This window comes from Homo sapiens, chromosome 18 (assembly GCF_000001405.40).
Source record: "Homo sapiens chromosome 18, GRCh38.p14 Primary Assembly".
NCBI lineage: Eukaryota > Metazoa > Chordata > Mammalia > Primates > Hominidae > Homo > Homo sapiens.
In genome coordinates this window covers 26,974,867-26,995,416 of record NC_000018.10, presented here as the reverse complement: position 1 = coordinate 26,995,416, position 20,550 = coordinate 26,974,867, and the positions used below count along the sequence as shown (strand labels likewise).

Here is a 20,550-nt window from a genome sequence, read left to right as displayed (position 1 = left end):
ACCCGGGTTGCAGTGTAGTGGCGCGATCTTGGCTCACTGCAAGCTCCGCCTCCCGGGTTCATGCCATTCTCCTGCATCAGCCTCCCGAGTAACTGAGACTACAGGCGCCCACCACCACGCCCAGCTAATTTTTTGCATTTTTTTTTTTTTTTTTTTTAGTAGAGATGGGGTTTCACCGTGTTAGCCAGGATTGTCTTGATCTCCTGACCTCGTGATCCACCCACCTTGGACTCCCAAAGTGCTGGGATTACAGGCGTGAGCCACTGGGCTGCAGTCATCTTAAGGGTTGCTACTTGCAGGCTCATTCATGTGGCTGTTGGCAGGTCTCACAAGCTCTGCTTCCATCTCAGTCACATGGGACCCTCCGCAGGGTTGCCCAAGACACGTCCACCGGCTTTCCCCAGAAGTGAGCACTCAAAGAGAGAGGCACCCAAGATGGAAGCCACAGTCTTTTCACAACCTAATATTAGAGCTGATGTCCTGTCACTCTGCTATATACTACTTGTTAGGAAAGAATCAATAAATCCAGGCCAGGCACAATGGCTCACGCCTGTAATCCCAGCACTTTGGGAGGCTGAGATGGGTGAATCACTTGAAGCCAGGAGTTTGATACCAGCCTGGGCAACGTGGTGAAACCCCATCTCTACTAAAAATACAAAAATTAGCTGGGTGCGGTGATACACACCTGTAATCCCAGGTACTCAGGAGGCTGAGGCAAAGAATCACTTGAACCCAGGAGGCAGAGGTTGCAGTGAGCCAAGGTTGCACCACTGCACTTCAGCCTGAGCAATAGAGCAAAACCCTGTCCACCCCCCAGCCCCGCAAAAAAAGAATCAATAAATCCAGCCCACACTCAAGTGGATACACAAGGGCATGAAGAACAGGAGGTGCAGACCACTGAGAGCCATTTGGGAGGCTGCCTAACAAACGTGTTATCAGAAATCAAAAGAGAAAAAGTATTGAGAAAAGGTACTGAGAAAATCGCTCTTTCTGGCTCTGTCTCCCTGTGTCTCTTTGTCTTTCTCTCTGTCACACACACACACAACACAGAGTAAGCATTTGGCTGATCATAACTGTTATGTATTAGGTCACTTTAGCCCTCAGAAAAATTATAAGAGAAAAGAAAATGAAAAACACATTTCTAGCATTATCTTTTAAATATATACATTGATGTGTAAAATCTTTTCGGAAACCTAGTGTTAGGAACTGAGTTGTGTGCCCTCAAAATGTATATGTTGAATTCCTAACCCCTTGTACCTCAGAATGTGATTGTATTTTGAGATAAGGCCTATAAAGAGATAATTATGTTAAAATGAGGCCTTTAGAGTGGGCCTTCATCCATTCTGACAGTCATTCTTATAAGAGGCAATTTGAACACAAAGAGAGACATCAAATCTGTAAGGGCAGAGAGGAAAGACCATGTGAAGACAAGGTGAGAAGAGAAAGAGGGCCATCCCCCAGCCGAGGAGAGAGGCCCCAGAATGAAACGTGCCCTGCCGGCACCTTGCCCTTGGACTTCTAACCTCCAGAACCACGAGGAGTACATCTTTGTTTAAGCCCGCAGTCTGCAGCATTTTGTTATGACAGCCCTAGCAAACTAATACAACTTGTTATTTTATGATCAGAATCTCTCTGTGCAATCTCAGTTCACAGTTTCCAAATGGCCATATTTAGAACAAAGTAAGTGTTCTGTTTTGCTTTTACTTTCCTCCAGACATAGTTCTAACTCTTTTATTTTTAAGATTGTGTTTAATTTTCTAAAAACAATTAAATCGAATATAGTCTTTCTGGTTTTCTTTCTTTAGTTGTCTTTCTTTTTACTCATTTATTATATTGTTTCCTCATTTATCTTAAGATAATATTAAACTGCCTTTACAGTGTCTTAGTAGCAATACTTGTGGCTTGACAGAAATCTTGGCTCTATGTTGGTAGTATAAAAAGTCACAGATAAAGAACTTTTCTTGGATTCTTTGGTTATTCTTTATGAGACAGTCATCAACATTAGTTTACTAATACCATTTTAAAACCACCTTCATTTCTGGACCTAAAAGTTCTGATTTTTCCCCAGATAATAAAATTTAAGGTTTCAATTCTCTTTAATTTCTGTGATTCTTCCTATTTTAAAAAAAAGCTCATGGTACCTAAGTGTTTTTACTATGAAGTGGAAGTATTCTGGGTTGGGACAGATTTAACACCTGCCATGCTAAGCAAGATTAACCATGGAGAGCTCTGTGTGGATAGTCTGAGATTTGAATCCTCTAGAATTTACGAGAGACTGGTTAAACCATAACGTGTCCCTCCCACTCCTTCCTATTGGTTGTCATCAACAGCAACATGGGGAGAGGAGAGTGGTGATTATCATGCCTAGTAGACAAATGTTCTTAATGAGTAGTTTGAAGTTATGAGATGTGTTTAAGTATTTGAGCTGCATTTAGGGTGTCTGCCTGCAGATTATAAGGAAATGAAAACTTCAACTAAACAAAAGAGCCTGCAAATGAATACTTACAGAAACTTGACTCACAGTGGATTTACAGGGTATATAGGTAAAAATGCCCACTTTAAACTCAAGCATAATTATTTCTCTTCTTGTTCTTTTTATTTAAAACTATTATAGTGGCTTAATGCCATCGCATTGCTCAAGAAAAAAATGCTATTGTTTTTCATTTTTCTGTCCCGTTCTTCTCCTTTTCCAGTGTTAACGCATCATGTGAAATGTTAAACAGGCCATTTAGTCAATACCAAATATAAGGTCTGATATCAAGGCACACAAAATCACATTCCTTTAAAAAAAAAAAAGAAAGAATTTCAAAGCAATCATAACTTCAGTTCTGTCCCTTTAAGTCTGATTAAGGTCTGCTAAACAAGGGATAGTGATTGAAGTATACCTTTGAAGTGAATTTTTTCACACTCTAATCTGTCAACCAACCAACTAAGTAAAACTAGTCTGTATTCATTTATTTATTCATCACAAATTTAATAAACTTCTGCTTGGTATCAGGAACTGCGCTAGGCTCAGGAGCTTCAGTGGTAAATAAGAGACAGTCAATCCCCACCCTCAGTGATTATAAACTCCTTTAAAGGAAAACATAACACTTTTCTTTTTCTCAAACTTTCTGTGTCTGAAGGCTCACTAGCATCTGTTTCCAGCATAGATGTGGTGTGATTTGTTCTTCATGTCACTCGCTTCTAATTCAGAGTGAGGGGCTGAGGCATCTGGTAGTAGAGCTTCTTGTTCCTGTGCCCCATCTTTGTGGATTCTGGGAAAGTGAGAATCTAGGATGTGTGGGCTCAACCTCAAAGTTGGGATCCCCAAACATAGGAACAGGGTGGGATATGAACAAGAACATAAGTGACAGATAACAACATCAATTTTTCCTTTTTTCGCTGGATCATTCCTTCACCACACAAACATGCCGTTCTTCCTCCCATCCTCAATATTCTCTTCTAACCCTACTTTCCCTCACAACAACTGCCCACTGCTCTGCCTCTTGCAGCAATGCTCTTCAAAGGAGTTCTTCTTGTCCATTCCTTCTCAAAGCCCTTCCACAGGGACTTTCACTTCCATCACTTTACAAAACTGCTCTGGGCCATCAATGAACACCCTATTACTAGATCCAGTGGTCAGGTCTTAGTCCTCGTCTTCATCAGACCTGTCAGAAACATTTGACACAGTTGATCACTCCCTCCTCCTCAGAAAACTGTCTTTGCTTGGCATCTAAGTCACCATCGTCTCCTGCTTTCACTGGCAGGTGCTTCTTAGTTTCCTTGCTGCTTCCTCCTGTTTCCCTAGTTTTCTAACATTGAGGTAGCTCAATGCTGTTTTGTCCTCTTCCCTTCTTACACCGTGGTAATAACCTCAGCTAGTCTCATGCTGTTAATCATCAAATTCATATCCAACCACATCTCTCTCTGGATCCCAGCTTTATATATCCAACTGCATATTTGGCATTTATCATTAAAAGTCTAAGAAGCATAATATGTCCAAACTAAACATGTTTTTCAGTTTTCTTCCCATGAGTCTACAGTCTTCCACATGTCCATTGATGGCATCTTCATTCTTACTTACAGTTGTTTGGGCAATAAAACTTGGAATCATCTTTGATTCTTTTCTTTCTCTCACATCCCATATCTAATCCGTTAGAGAATTAAGAGGATTCCACTTTCAAATGTCAAGCACCACTTGTCCCCATTGTCGCTGCTACTGCCCTGGTCTAAGCCCCCATCATCTCTTGTTTGGAATATGCCATAGCCTCTTAAGAAGTGACCCTGCTTTCTTTCCCTCTTATCCTATACTCACCACCGTCTAATCTCAACAGATATGTTTAAGTGATTATTTTAATATGTAAGTGGGTTCAGAGACTGCATAGGTCCCCCATTTCACACAACCTTACAAATCCCTATCCCCATGCTGCCAGATCTCAGCCCCAAGTTTCTCTCTGACCTTATTACCTTCTCTTCCTTCCTTTTCTCACTCCATTCCAGCCACGCTGGGGAGGCAGCAAGCATGTTGAAGAAAAATAAGATAGGCCTGAAGAGCAGAAGGAGGAAGGGAAGGGAAGAATAAAAGAAAACTGTGGAAAGGTAACAAGGCAAGGAACATGGGATTGCAATGGACTAGAACTTTCTTTTCCTCAACAAATTTGTGTTCATTTATTAAACACAATATTCAACCAGTGATAATGAGCAAGACAGGAGACAGATTCTGCAGGGTGCATGAGGAATGAGACACAAAGGAATGAGGCACACATAGTCTTGCAGGGAAGACACAGCAAACACCTAAATTACTACAGCATGCTAGAGAAAATGATGCATGACATGAAACATAAAATGCTAAGGCCATTAATTAATTGATGGAGAGTTTTAAGGCTCACTACCAAAAAGCCATTGGCTACAGATTATTTTTGGAAGTGAAACACATATAACTTTTAAAGCAAAATAGTTTTTGGAGCATAACATACTTATAAAAAAGTGAATCCTAACAACCCAATACATTTTCATTCATGTAACCAGCATGCAGATCAAGAAACAGTTACTTGCACCCCAGAATCCCTCCAGCCTCCTTCCAATCACTAACACTCAGCTCTATGCCATTAGCTTTTTAAAATAGCTTTATTGAAGTATAATTAATATACAACAAATTGCACATATTTAAAGAAAGAGTTTCCTTGTGTCCCTTTTGACCCTTCCCTACCACCCCAATCACTGTCACAATAGGTCATTTTATATTTTCTAGAGTTTTACATAAATGGAATCATATGGTATGTACTCATTTCCACCTGGCTTCTTTAACTCTACATAGTTATCATGAGAATCATCAAGATTGAGGCATGTATCAATAGTTCACTCTTTTTTTGTGGCTGAGTAGTTTTCCATTGTGTTGGATATACCACAATGTGTTTATCCATTCTCCTGTTGATGAACTTTTTTCTTTATTTTTAAATTTTATTTATTTTTTTACTTATTTTTTCAGACAGAGTCTCACTCTGTCTCCCAGGCTAGAGTGCAGTGGCATGATCTTGGCTCACTGCAATCTCTGCCTCCCAGGTTCAAGCCATTCTTGTGCCTCAGCCTCCTGAGTAGCCAGGATTACAGGCACCTGCCACCATGCCTAAATAATTATTGTATTGTTAGTAGAGATGGGGTTTTTCCATGTTGGCCAGACTGGTCTCAAACTCCTGGCCTCAAGCAATCCAAAAGTGCTGGGATTACAGGCATGAGCCACCAGGCGCAGCCTCGATGAATATTTGAGTTGCTGCCAGTTTCTGGCTGGTACAAATAATGCCACTATGAACATTTGTTTACAAGTGTTTGTATGGACATTCTTTTATTTCTCTTGGGAAAAATGCCTAGGAAGGTTGGATCAAGGGTAGTTATATGTTTAATTTTTTAAGAAGCTGCCAAGCTATTTTCCAGAATGGTTGCACCATTTCATGTTACCATCAAGAATGTATGATATTTGTAATCCTTTTACATCAATGACAATGCAGGTATGGTCAGTCTTTCTCATTTTAGCCATTCTAAATAGGTATGTAGGGGTATATCATGGTGCTTTAATTTATATTCCTGTGATAACTAATGATGTTGAGCATCTTTTCATATGCTTATTTGCCATCCCTATATCTTCCTTGGTGAAGTGCCTGTTCAAATCTTTTGTTCATTTCTTTATTCTACGGTTTGTTTTTAAATTAAGTTTTCTTTATGTATTCTGATATAATTCTTTTATCAGTGATATGCTTTGCATATATTTATCTTGGTCTATTCTTTGTCTTTTCATTCTCTTTATTTCCTTTCTTCTGCTTAATTTGGGTTCAATTTGCTCTCATTTTTCATGTCTCTTAAAATAGAAGTTGAGGTCATTAACTTGAGACTTTTCTTTTTTTCTTATATAGGTGTTAAGCACTATAAAATTCCTCCTGGGTACTGTTTTAGGGACATTTTTAAAATTCTGATATGTCATGCTTTCATTTTCATTCATTTCAAAATTCATTTCATTTTTTCTTTGACCTTTGTGTTATTTAGATTTTCTAGAGATTTTCACATTATTGATTTCTAATTTAATTCCATTATGGCCAGAAAACATATGTTACATGACTTGAATACTTTTAAATTTATTGAGAGTTGTTTTATGGACCAGACTTATGTTCTATTTTGTTAAATATTGCATGTGCACTTGAAAAGTGTGTATTATCCTATTGTTGGATAGAGTCTTTCTTAATAATCAAGCCAGTTTGATTAATGATGTTTTTCAAGTCTATTATAGCCTTGATGAGTATCTGTCTATTCTATTCTTTATTGGAAGAGAGGTATTGAGTTCTCTGACAGCAATTATGGATTTGACTATTTTTCAATGGTGCCCTATCAGTTTTTGTGTCATGTATTTTGAATCTCCATTTTTAGGGACATAAACACTTAGCATTGTTTTGTCCTTGTGACTTATTGTCCTTTTATTATTATGATATGACCTTCTTTATACCTGGTAATATTCTTTGCTTTGAATATTACTTTGCCTGGCTCAATATAGAAACTCTAGCTTTCTTTTGACTGGTTTTACAATGGTATATCTTTTTTCAAACTTTTATTTCTGTCTTTATATTTGAAGTGCCCTTTTAAAGGCAGAATATTGTTGTGCTATGCTTCTTTATCCAATAAACATAAATATCTTTTAATTGACATGTTTACACCATTTATATTTAATGTGATTATTGATATGGTTAATTTAAATACTATCTCCTTGCTATTTGCTTTCTATTTGTCTCTTGTCTTCTTTGTTCCCTTTTTCCCTTTGTCAGCCATCTTTTGGATTAATCGATTTTTTAATTATTCAATTTTATTTCTTTTGTTAGGTTATTTTTTTTGGTCATTCTTTTAGGGTAGATATGCATCATTAACTTTAGCAGTCTACTTTTCAGTTATTTTATTTTAGTCCATTGTGGCTACTATAACAAAATGTCATAAATTGGGTATCTTATACACAATAGAATTTATTTCTCACAGTTCTAGAGGCTGGGAAATCCAGTATCAGGTTGAGCATGGTCAGATTCCAGTGAAGGGCCTTATCCAAGTTGCAGACTGCCAATTTCTCTTCGGGTCCTCACATGGTGGAAAGGGCAAGGAAGCTCTCTGAAGTCTCTTTTATAAGGGCACTAATCCACTCATCAGGGCTCTGCTCTCATAACCTAATCATCTCCCAAAAGACCCCACTTCCCAGTGCCATTACCTTTGGGGTTAGGTTTCAACATATGAGTTTGCAGGAGATGGGGGGACACATTCAGATCAGGGCAGACATTGTACCACTTGGTGTATAATATAAAAGCTTTATAATACTTCCATTTTCCCCACCCTGTTGTTGTCATATATTTTATTTTTATATACCATAAATCCCACAATACATTATTATTATTTTTGCTTAGTCAATTGTCTTTTAAAAGGTTTAAACAACTTTTTTCGGTTTTTTATGTTTATTGTTTTAGTCAATTTTGTGTTGCCATAACAGAATATCTGAGACTGGGTCATTTATAAAGAAAAAATGTTTATTTGGCATATGATTCCACAGGCTAGGGAGTTAAAGCACATGACACTGGCTTCTGACAAGGGCTTTTGTGCTGCAAAGCATGGCAGAGAGGTCAAAGAGGAAGCAGACACGTGCAAAGAGAGCCAAAACCTAAGGGATGTCTTGGTTATATAACTACTCTCCCTAGAACTAATCCATTCCCTCAAGAACTAATTCAACCTTACTGGAGCTAGAACTGACTTATTGTCATGAGAATAGCACCAAGCCATTCATGAAGGATCGGCCCCCATGACCCAGACACCTCCCACTCTGCCCCATCTCCCAACACTGCCCCATCGGGGATCAAATGTCAATATGAATTTTGGTGGGGAAAAGCAAATCATATCCAAACCACAGCATTTACTCACATGGCTAATAATCCTGTTGCTTTTTATACCTTTGTATAAACACAGGTTTTCATTCAGTATCAATTTCCTTCTGCCTAAAGAAATCCTTTTTATTTTTCTATAAATTATTTCAATTTTTATATGTACACAAACATCTTTATTTAACCTTTATTTTTGAAAGACATTTTTGCTGGATATAAAACTCTAGATTGACAGGTTGTTTTCTTTCAGTACTATAGAGTTGTTACTCAAAGATCTTTTACATGCATTGTTTCCAACAAGAAATCCTGTCATCTTTAATTTTGTTCTTCAGTATAAAACATGTCTTTTGTTCCTCTGGCTGTTTTTAAGATTTTCCTTTTAGTGTCAATTTTGAGGAATTTGATTGTGATGTGCATTGATGTGGTTTTCTTCAGATTTTCTGTGGTTGAGGTTTCTTGAGCTTCCTAGATCTCTGAACTTAAAGTTTTCACCAAAAATATGAAATTTTCAGCTATTATTTTTCAGATTTTTAAATCTTCCTCTCCTCTTTTCAGGTAGTCCAATTACAAAATATTAGGCTGCTTAAAGTTGTCTGATAGCTCACTAATTCTCTTTTCTTTTTTTATATCTTTTCTCTGTGTTTTTGTTTTTGATAATTTCTATTGCTGTGGCTTAAATTTCACTAATCTTTGTCTAATCTGATATTAATCATATCCCGTATAATTCTTTTGTCCCAAATATTCTAGTTTTTATCTCTAACAGTTTAATTTAGGTCTTTTTTGTATTTTCCATGTCTTTACTTAACTTTTTGGCCATACAGAATATAGTTATAACTCTTTAAAATATCCTTGCCTGCTAATTCTCATCTCTGAGTAATTTCTGTTTAAGTTAAATTGATTTATTTATTTTTCTGATTATTGATCTTACTTTCCTGCTTTTTTACATACCTTGTAATCTTTGATTGAATACCAGACTTTGTTAATTTTATCCTGTTTTATATTGGATGTTTTTGTATTCCTAGAAATTTTCTCAGGCTTTATACCAGGATACAGTTAAATTACTTGGAGAGAGTTTGATCACTTTGGTTCTTGTTTTTATGATTTAGATGGATCTAAAACAGTGACCAGTCTAAAACTAATTAACACTGAGGCAGGACCTTCTCGAACATTGGGAAGATTTTTGCATCTACTCAATGCCCTAAAAATTGTAACTTTTTCCAGTATATTTGGTAGGAATAGGCACTGTTCCCACCCTTGTGTAAGTGTCAGGCACTATCCCCTCTAATCCTTTCTAACCCAGGTTCTTTCCCTGCCTTGGGTCATTATGACATATGCATGTACTCATCAGAAATTGCTGAATACCCAATGGGAAGCCTCAGCAGATGTTCAGCATTCTCTCTTTGAACTGCATGCACCTTTCTGGTTCTTTGTCTTGAGAACTCTAGACACCTTGTTCATGGATTCTCATATTTGTCCCTTAAACTCAAAGAGTCTTCTGGGCTCTATTGTAGTTTTCTCTCCTTGTGTTACAACCTGGGAACTCAAGTTGGTAAACTGGGACAATCACATGGCTTGCCTTGCTTGTTTACTATCTCTCAGAAATTACTGTCCTCCTTTTCCTGCTGTTCAGTGTCATGCAAACCGTAGTTAATTCTATTTTGTCTTAATTTGTTTGGTTGGTTGGTTTTGGCAAGAGAATAAATTTGGTCCCAGTTATTCCATCTTGATCAGAAGCAAAAGTCTCTTCTCAACATAGATTCATTTTGACTGGTTTAGAACACTGCATAAATTGAATAGTGTCTGTCTTCTTTTGCTTAATCATATGCTTATGAAATTCATCCATGTTGTTGCATGTAGTAGTAGTTCATTCATTCTTGTTGCTCTGTGGTTTTCTCTTATGTTGATGTACCACATATATTTATCTATTTTACTCTAGCTAGACCTTTGGGTTGTTTCCATTTTGGATCTGTTATAAACAGTATTACAATAAATATCTTTTGGTGAACATGTGCATGCATCTCTTTCTGGTAGGTGTACAACTAGAAGTGGAATTTCTGGGTGATGGGACAGGCATATGCTTTGCTTTGGTTGATACTGATTGCTGAAGAGTTTTCCAAAATAGTTATACAAATTACATTCCTCCATCAGTGTATGAGAGTTTCTTTTCATCTATACCCTCACTAACACTTGGCATTGTTCACTTTTTCATCTTAGCTATACTGATGAGTGTGTACAATATAGACTTTTTTATTTTCCTCATGACTAATGAAGGATTGAGTAGCTTTTCAATTTCTTTTTTTTTTTTTTTTGTCTTTTGGTAATCCTCTTTTATGAAGATTCTCTTCAAATTCTTTGTCATTTTTCTGAGAGATTGACTTTACCTTATTGATTTATGGGAGTTATTTATATATGCTTTTGTCAGATACATGTATTGCAATATCTTCCTATTATTGATAAATTTTCCTTTTATTCTGTTAATGGTGTCTTTGGATAATAAAAAAATTCTTAATTTTAATGTAGTTGACTTTACCAGATTTTCCCCTTATTGCTAGTTCTTTTATATCCTGTTTGAGAAACTGTTGCCTACTCCAAGTTTATGAAGATATTACCCTATGTTTTCTTCTAAAAGCTTTATCATTTACCAATCTCCAGTACTTCTACAATCTATCCAAAATCAGTTTTTGTTTGTGAAGTGGGAGTCAGGATAGAAATAACTAACTGGTCCAGCATAATTAATTGAAAAGACTATCTCTTTTGAGTTAGAACTTTTTGAGCATTGATTATGCTTCAGGCACTAGGCAAGTTGATATTTCATTTTATCTTCACAAAATCCCTATAAATGTTTCCCCATTTTATATATTGGAAAAGTTACAATTAAGTGAGTTAAATTAATTTCCATAGCTCATGGCTAGTCAGGTGTAAATTTGGGTTTTGAGCTTAGGTCTTGACTCCAAACTTGCCTAAGGTTATCTTAAGTCAATGTCAGCAAAAAGGACACTTTTATATTTTTGTAGTGAAAAACCAAGCTGGTAAAGGGGTTGAAAACCACTGGGAATGTGGGAGTGAAGAGGGGTTGACCCTAGAAAAGAACAGGGTCTTGAATAGTGTCTTTTGTATATCAAGACTCAGTAACAGTTTACTGAATTGCAAAAGTTATCCACTTTTAAATAACTGCAAAGCTTTGTTATCTACACTCATGAGGCACTTATAACTTTTATATATAAAACTTAGTGATTTCTTCCTTGTCTAATTGCCTATGGCAGTGGTTTTCAAAGTGTGGTTCTTCAGATCAATAATATCAGCACTACCTAAAACTTGTTAGAAATGCAAATTCTTGTCCCCTTCCAAAGACTTACTAAATCAGAAATTCTGAAGATGGGACTATATTAGGCCATTCTTGCATTGCTATAAAGAAATACTTGAGGTGGGCTAATTTATAAACAAAAGAGATTTAATCGACCCATGGCTCTGCAGGCTATACACGAAGCTGGCATCTGCTCGGCTTCTGGGGAGGCCTCAGTGAGCTGTTTTTCATGGCAAAAGGCAAAGAGGGAGCAGGCATGTCACATGGGAGAAGCAGGAACAAGAGAGTGAGTTGGGGGCGAAATACCACACACTTAAACAACCAGATCTCATGAGAACTCACTGTGGCAAGGACAGCACCAAGCCATGAGGGGATCCACCCCTCTGACCCAAATTCCTCTCAACAGGTCCCATCTCCCACATTGGGAATTACATTTTAACATGAGATTTGGTGGGGACATATATTCAAACTATCAGGGACCCAGAAAACTACTTTAATAAGTTCTGCAGGTCATTCTGATGTCCACTAAATTTGAAACACACTGGTCTAGGACCTATACTTTCTCCAAACATACTCTCTACAGAGGATTCCCCTAACCTACCATGCTTGGTTATACCACCAGTGATTGCTTATTGACAGTGCCTCTTCCTGGACTCCCGCTGTGATTCTTAGCCCGGCTAATATTTACACAGAGGTCAGATCCTCCCTCTCCTTACACAGATGGTCACACACTTAGAGGTCTATATTCAGTTCCTCAGTCCTTCTTCTTGTCACATCACTTTGTAATTGTCTATCTGCTTGTCAATATCTGCCACAAAACTGTGAGGAGCTTAAGGCAAGGGCCGTTGAATTCCCAGAGTGTGGCATATAATTTTTTGAGTATATGAATTTTATTCCATTTTATCGTTGAAGAACTATCACGTGGAAAAGAAATGACTTAATATTTGAATAAATGAATAAGTACTTGAAGGACCATCATGTGGAATCATGGAACAAGGTACAGTAAATGGAGACTTCAAGGAGGTTAGGAACACAGAGATACCTGTTGCATGAGATGTTGAAGAAAAGACTGGAAAACCTTTACTGTATAACCCCTCATCCCCATCCCTTCTAAACTGTGAGCTCCTTGAAGCCAGCAACAGTATCCCATTCACTGTGTGTCCCCCGTCCCCAGTAAGGTCTGGAACGGTGTCTGACACACAATGAATTTACTCTAAGTGAATGGCTGAATGAACCAAAAGGTTCCTTAGTGACATATGTTGAGTTTTGTTGCTACTGTTTTGTTTGCTTGACTGTTTTTGCTAGAGAAACAGCTCAGTTCTAGATCACCCAACTGGCAAAGTTTGAGTATTCTTAGGGGCACTTGCAAAGCAGAGGGCAAAAAAAAAAAAAAAAGGTAAAAGGAGTTTAGCTTTGATAAATTTATCCACAATTTTGTAATCAGAACTGTTTTAAGAAACTATTTTAACTACAACATACATATGTGTTTCATGTTTTATAGTTTCTTCCCTTCTTAATTACATGTGGATGAAGAGACGAGGAAGTAGAAAGTGGATCACTGTAATCTTTTCAGTGTTGAGGGACTCAGAATTCAGCCTCTGGGCAGAGACTACATCATGGGTCTTTTTTACTCTGCGGAGGATTTTGTACTTTATCTTAAAGGCAGCTGTAAGCCATTGAATGATGTTAAGGAGGGAAAATAACATAATAGATTTGCTTTTCTAAAGGTCATTCTGACTGCTGTGTGGAGGATTTACTGGGAAGTGGGAAGGGGAGGATGGGAGACTGGAATACAGAAGACTGGTTAGAAGAAATATTGCAGCTGATCGAGAGAGCTGATAAGAACTTCAACTAGGGCAATGACGGCATGGAGGAAAATGGACTGGATTCAAATTAGCAGTTGACTCAACCCACTAAATTTGCTGACAAAGATAGGGGACTTGTCAGAAATGATTACAGTTAGCTTTCAATTTAATAGTAATAATTAAATTGTCAGGCCTCCGCTTCTACTGGATGTGCAAGTTTATGTAATGGAAGTCTTTGTTAACTACAAAGCACTGTACACATGCAAAGTGGGATAATTACCCACAGAAATCATACCTCCAAATTCCATGTGCCAGAGGCAAGCCCTGAGGGTTGGAAAATGAGTTCGTGTTTATGGGCCATCAACAGCAGGATTGCACATGTATTCCTGAACAACGAACTTACTGTTCATTCTCAAGTGCTCATTACAATGGAAATTAGTAACACTTGAATGATAGATGCGGCTCTGTTCTGAATATGCCACTTAGCAAATACTTGCTGCAGCTAAGTGTCAAGAATTCACACATTGATGGATCCTAGACATGAGTGGCTACTTTTTGTGAATGGAATGAAGGTGGATACCTCACCCTGAAGAGTAAGCATCATGTCTACATGGGTTAGGAGCAAGATTTTTTTATAACTTGGTATTTAGGTGTGGAGGACTTTGTCTGGTTATGCATATTTATGCTTTTGGCCTTGTAAAAAGAAACCCTTGGCTCTTTCTTACCAATATCTTTTTAAGTCAAAAGCCTTTAACATGTAAAATTCAGCCTGTAACCAATTCTAATTTCCCAATCTACTTCTTAACTTGAGAAACTAGAAAAAATGCAATAATCCAACTCTGCTATTAGAGAATGTGAATATAAGAAAAAGGGAGCCTCCTGTGGCTCCATCAACATCACAGAACTCTCCTTACATATTTAATGATCATTTCTATATAGAGGATATTGATCAGCATGTTGAAGAAAAACTGAACAAGTGAAAAAAGCACATATATTCTTTAAGATCACTTCATTTTTACATATTCTTTCTGCACTGGGATTTAGGACATAGCATATTTAGGCTTCGTTTTGGCCGATGGGTTGCTAGGAAATAATCCCATAGCCTCTTTCATACCTCTTTGCTCATTTTCTGCCCTTGGTAAAATATTCATTATGAACTCTTATAAATTATAAAACCTTTTTTTTCCCCAAGAAAAGTGTGGACTTTTTTTAAACAGATTTAGCACTGATAGGACTGCTTGCCTTAGACAGCACTACCAGTAATTAAATCTGCATGCTGAAGTGGTAAACCCTAAGAATTTTTAGAGGAAGGAAACCTGACATATAAAATGGAGTAAAGGCAGGCTGATGGAGAAGGGAAAATTCAGTGTTGGGCAACTTCCTGACTCCAGTGTGTGAACTGTTGAATAATCGAACATTATAGCATGTACTGAACATTAATTCTGTCAAAGTTTCCAGAGTAAAGAATAAATCGGTAGTCTCCTCATCTCTCTCATCCTCCAATTTATGTTTGGTACATAATCATTGCCATTATTATCTTCATTCATGGGTCATTTTTTTTATATAGTTGGATTAAGCACTGGTTTCTTACAGTCAATAAGAATGTATTGTGAATCTGTTACACTTCTAGGCGCTAGGGATTGTAATAATTTATTACATTTGCCTCTTCCTTTAAAGGAGCTCATAGTCTTCTTTGGAAGAAAGACAAGTAAATATATAACCATAACAAAACATCCTAACTCTATAGTGAAGGGTTATATAGAAGCACAGAGGAGACACACCTAAGCTTAACAGGTAGAGTGGGTAGGGAAACAGAGGTGGCTTCCTGGAGGAAAGAGTATCCATCCTGTCTTAATGTAGTCTTGATGAACTCTGGGATATAGCTTGAAAGTGATGAAAGTAGATCCAAGTTCTTTAAAAGCAATTGGAAAATACATGTCAAAATTCATTAAAAAATATTGAGACCTAGAATTTCTCATTTATGAATCTTAAGTTTAAAAACAATCTGAAACACAGAAAAAATACGTTTAAAATGTTAATTGTAGTGTAGTAACAATATGGAAACCAGCAATTGAGGAATTTTTAAGGAAATTATAGTTTATCAACTCAATGGTCTAGAGGGCAGACACACATGATTTTTGCTAAGAATTTATCATAGGAATTGGTAGTCTATTCCACAAATATTTCTTGAGCAGTTTATGCCAAGCACTGATCTGATCTCTGTGTACAAAAAGACAAATAGACGTGGCTCCTACTTGAAGGAGCTCTTGGTAAAATGACAAATATAGACAATTAAATTAACTCTTAGAAGAAGAAGAGAGATGGATTCTAGTGGCAGAAACATGTCATTAGAATGCAGATGAGGCCTTGTAAATCAAATCAGCAAAACATGGGGAGCTACCAAAGGAAGATGAGGAAGAACATGAGTTTTGAATGATAAGAGGGCAGAAAAAAATGGAAATAAAGGAAATTTCTTATTTTACCTTATGTGGGAAACAAAAGCAGACTATAACATTGGATATGCAGTTTGTCCATAACTATATAAAACCAAATATAGTTTTTTTCCATATATGCATAGAAAAAAAGAAAGTGAAGAAATAAACTAATGTTAACAGTGATTGTCTTATGGGTGATGTTTTTCTCACTTCTCCTTTTTGGCCTCCCCCAAATATTCTATTATAAGCATTATTATTTGTAAAACGAAAGAAAGATGCAAGGGGTTGCCAGCAAGAAGATAAAAGGCACAAAGTGTTCACATTTTAGAAGAGAGCTATTTATGGTCAAACTCTCACAACAAAATAGGATGGGCATATTTCCAAAAGGCAATAGCACAGGGTAACATGCTCAAGGATAAAAGACCCTTCTGTGCCCCGACATACCTGCCACAATCTTTAAAAAAAATAAAATAAAATAAAATAAATAAAAAAAACGGAAACAACAAAAACCACAAAAACCACAGATAGGCCTTGTCACATGAGTCACCTAGAAAATTCTTATTGGCTAAGGTCTTGACTCTCCCTTGGGTTCGTCCCTTTGTAGGGAACCCACTCTGTTCAGCTCTGAGCCAGGCATCAAGTCTGCCATTTACTCAGTGCATTAGTGCCTTGAATTTGCATAACACTTTGAAATTTATGAGGCATTTTCATAATGTTTACTTTCATTTTATTTTCTCCACAGCCCTGTGAGGTAGGAAGGACCGATATTATTTTTTCTCATTTTACAGTTGAAGAAACTAAGACTTAGATGAAGTTTCTTCCCTCTGGTTACGAGGCTGGTAAGTGTTAGAAGCAACACTGGAAGTCAGATGTTTTTCTGAACATGTGTTTATCCCTCTGCATCACAAAACTCACATGATAGACACTTCTGTCTTCGCTAACAAAAACAGACGAGTGTTTGTGAGAACAGAGAGGTGTCTTATTTTTCATCTAAGTGGGTTCAGGTGGCTAGGAAAGTTCTAGCACACGAGAGATGCTCTATACATTTGTGAGGGGTGGCAATAAATGAAAAGATTATTAATACTTAATAAACTTAATAAATGAAAGGATTTAAAAATAAATATACAAGTCCTAAATAAAGTATCTAAATAGATATTGTCATTGTCCTTAGCAATCTACTCTGAAGAGCAGCACACACACACACACACATACACACACTCACACACACACATCAGAAAAAGAGAAAAGAAACGGGTTAGTTGGGAAGAGTAAAAAGAAAAATTTTGAGACAAAGAGATTTCTAATTAAATAAAATAGAACAATTTGTTATGAATTTCTGTTTTATTGCAAAAAAAAATCTATTTTCCACTTTGAACAAAATTTTACATTGGGAGAAAAAAAAAAACCACAGGAAAAGAGCAGATGTCTTTGAGAATCATCAAAGCATGTCTTATTTCTTACACATGCACATGCCTGCTCTCTTTCTGCCTGCATCTACAAAGGGGACTCATTTAGCATTCACTGATGAACATAAGAGTATTTCTATACTCCTGCTGAGCCTGTGAATTTTTTTTTTTAAGTTATTAAGGTGGTGCACGCATCATGCCCTAGTGACTTTGGCTATATATGCCCTTTGAAAATCTCTAATGACATGTTGGACACCCTGCATATAAATGTCACCACTTGGAATGAGAGTCAGACTTTTGCTCATGGGAATGTTCTCTGCCTGGCCTCAGTGTAATATCCCTGACCTAATGAAAGCAAATGGTTCTCAGTAACTCCCTCCTAAGTGTAATAATGCATATTCTTTTTCGGATGCTTATAATATGGTGTTGGTAAATAGCTTAGCAATGCACATAGGAACAATTCTACTAATGGATAGGGAAAGAAAATTAAATTGCTATCTGTATAGCCCTAGACCTTTTAGATTATTTTCAAAACTCATCACTGCAGCAATGATTTCTCCCATAGTATTTTAACTAGCATGGCAGCCTTGGCTTTCTACATGTATGAAAGGTATCTTTAAATCCATATTACTTTTTTTCTTTTCATTTTTTTTTTTTTTTTTTACAAGTGACCTTTGGAAATGATTTCCAATAACTGCAGCCAACTTTAAGCTCAAGGCTTGGTAGTGAAAGGTCACTCTACATTTAGACTAAATGTGGATAGATGTATACTCCCTGCAGCAGGCTATTGCTTTAGGACTTGCTATTGTATTTGACCCAATCTTCTTTCTAACCCAAGCATTTAGACAGCTTCCATCTGGGTTTTGTTTAAACTTTTTTTTTTAAGCATCGGTACAAATTAAAAGGCTTTATATATTGGCAAGTAACTTTTTTTCTTTAGAGATGCACATTTTTCTTAGAAATCTAAGACCATAGAAAAGAGTAGGCATGCTGAACTTCTCATAAGAATGACTCCATGAATTTTGCATGAAGGATGCTCCCATTCCATAAAAGGGCCTGGCAAAGTACATGAGACTGCTCAGATCCCTTATCTCTCACTCATGTTTTTCCTGCAAATAACATCTTTCTTTATAAAAGAGGAAGAAACAAAATGAAAAAACCTTGGACTAGGCAGCTATACATAAGCACTGCATAAGACTGCCTGAAGAAGAATGCAAGGAGATGGATTTTTTTCCTTCTACTAAACTCTGAGGACCTTCAGATCACAATTGTCACTGTGATAGCCTTCTCAGGAGCAAAGCAGCCCCCTGTCCCCAGCTTCCTTTCCTCACTGTGGCCTGATGGCTTCCTGTATTCATGTGACTTTGTCACATCATGCAGTCTTTACAAATGAGTCTCAGGAATGCTTTCCTTCCCATCCACGGTAGAGAAGGACTTGAAAAGCATTCAAGAGACTTAGTCTCTCTCCATGTCTGAGTGGGCTTCAAAAATGCTGAAGATCAGAGTCAAAGAAGGGAATGTCTCCCTCACTTCTTCCCTCCTGGATCCCTGTCTGGCCCAGCTAGAAAGCAAAATCGCTTCCTAATGCTGGGCAGGCAGGGACTGGAAAGGACTCTGGACTGAGTGTCCGGAGACCTGACTTCATTCAGCTTCTGTCAATTACCAGTTATGTGGCCTGGGGCTAAATCACTTGTCTGCTAGGCTTGATCTTTTATCTGAACAGAATTAGTTAAAAGAATTAATTCTGTAAATTCAGTGAAACAATATCCAGCTTTGGCCACAACTCCTTTTTCTAAATGACTGTCTTCATATCAGATTCCTCAGGGAGAGAGTCAGATTACTGCAAGTGTGTCTGATTCTGATTTCAAAGAAGGTTCTGGAATGATTCCATTTGTCCTAAGAATGCACCAGAATAAAATTATTTCTTATATTCAGGCAGCGTTTTTAAAATTCTAAGTAGCTTTTGCTTATCCCACTTATTTAGTCCTCCTGTTGAGCGTAGATTTGGAGTACATTGTTGGAGCCCCTCTAATGTGCTTTGCTGCTAACAGGCTGGCACTCCCACCCATGAGAAGATTGCTCGGGCTCACTGGGTCCTCCTTGTTCTCCTGGTTCCTCCCTGTGGTGGGGGACACCTCCTGCTGACTGGCCAATAACAGAAGTATGTGGGAATACAAAAGGCCAACTCCTTTGCCCCAAGGTGAATAAATTCTGAGATGTAATTTATGCTCTGCAGTGCCCCTCCCTCAAAAATCAGGTTGAACTATAGCAAAAATGTAGAATCAACCCAAGTGTCCATCAATGAATAAGATAAAGAAAATGTTATATATATATATATATATATATATATATATATATATATACACACACACACACACATATATACACATATATATACACACACATATATACATATATTTATATATATATATATATATACACACATACATTGGAATACTGTTCAGCCATTAAAAAGAATAAGATCATGTCCTTTGAAGCAATGTGGATGAAACTGAATGCCATTATTTTAAGTGAAATAAGTCAGACATAGAAAGACAAATACTGCATGTTCTCACTTATAAGTGGGAGCTAAATAATGTGTGCACATGGACTTAGAGTGTGTAATGATGGACAATGGAGACTCGGAGTGGTGGGGGCAGTGGGAGGGGCCAGACAATGAGGTATTATGTAAGGAGTACACTGTACATTATTTGGGTGATGTATACCCTAAAATCCCTGACATCACTACTGCACAATTTCTGCATGTAACAAAATTATACTTGTATGCCATACATTTATACAAGTAAAAAGGAAAGTCAGGCTGAGTGTGGGCTCCTTCCTGTTCCCTATGTCTCTTCCCCCCACCCTCACTGGCTTCTCCTGGAAGCAATTGATCACTACATCACTTGCAACTGAAATCTTGGCTCAGGAGAACCTTATCTAATAAAACAGTAGATTTAAACAACAAAGTAAGGTTAGCAGGACACAGTAGGTGTGTTATCAAAAGACCCATGCTTGCAGCTCTGCCGCGTAACAGCTCTCTGGCCTGGAGCAAGGTGCCTAGAGCCCCAAGCCTCTCTTTCCTCATTTGTGAAATGAAAATAAGTACGCCTGGGCTGGGCGCAGTGGCTCATGCCTGTAATCCCAACACTTTGGAAGTCCGAGGCAGGTGGATCATTTGAGGTCAGAGTTCAAGACCAGCCTGGCCAACATGGTGAAACC

The 20,550-nt window shown here is 37.4% G+C and overlaps 1 protein-coding gene and 1 long non-coding RNA gene across 6 annotated transcripts in view, besides 2 other annotated features; one reads left to right on the top strand and one right to left on the bottom strand.

Moving 5' to 3' along the window:
* Window positions 1-20,550, top strand: part of CHST9 (carbohydrate sulfotransferase 9) — a 278,828-nt gene that overhangs the window by 189,892 nt on the left and 68,386 nt on the right. The window contains exon 1 of one of the 5 annotated variants that reach the window (XM_047437881.1): window positions 16,685-16,761. The exons of the other annotated variants lie outside the window; for them this stretch is intronic. Coding sequence (XP_047293837.1) covers window positions 16,731-16,761 — 31 coding nt within the window. The 5' untranslated portion in view covers window positions 16,685-16,730. Of the gene's footprint in view, window positions 1-16,684; window positions 16,762-20,550 lie in introns of those variants that run through there. 5 annotated transcript variants of the gene reach the window in all.
* The window catches only part of LOC124904275 (uncharacterized), a 29,076-nt gene that overhangs the window by 3,942 nt on the left and 4,584 nt on the right, over window positions 1-20,550 (bottom strand). The gene's annotated exons all lie outside the window — the stretch shown is intronic.
* Window positions 16,239-16,288: an enhancer, noted in NCBI's record as "active region_13195". NCBI's record gives its function as "activates an Ori minimal core promoter by ATAC-STARR-seq in GM12878 lymphoblastoid cells {active_cell/tissue: GM12878}" and the evidence as "EXISTENCE:reporter gene assay evidence [ECO:0000049][PMID:35858748]".
* Window positions 16,689-16,738: an enhancer, noted in NCBI's record as "active region_13194". NCBI's record gives its function as "activates an Ori minimal core promoter by ATAC-STARR-seq in GM12878 lymphoblastoid cells {active_cell/tissue: GM12878}" and the evidence as "EXISTENCE:reporter gene assay evidence [ECO:0000049][PMID:35858748]".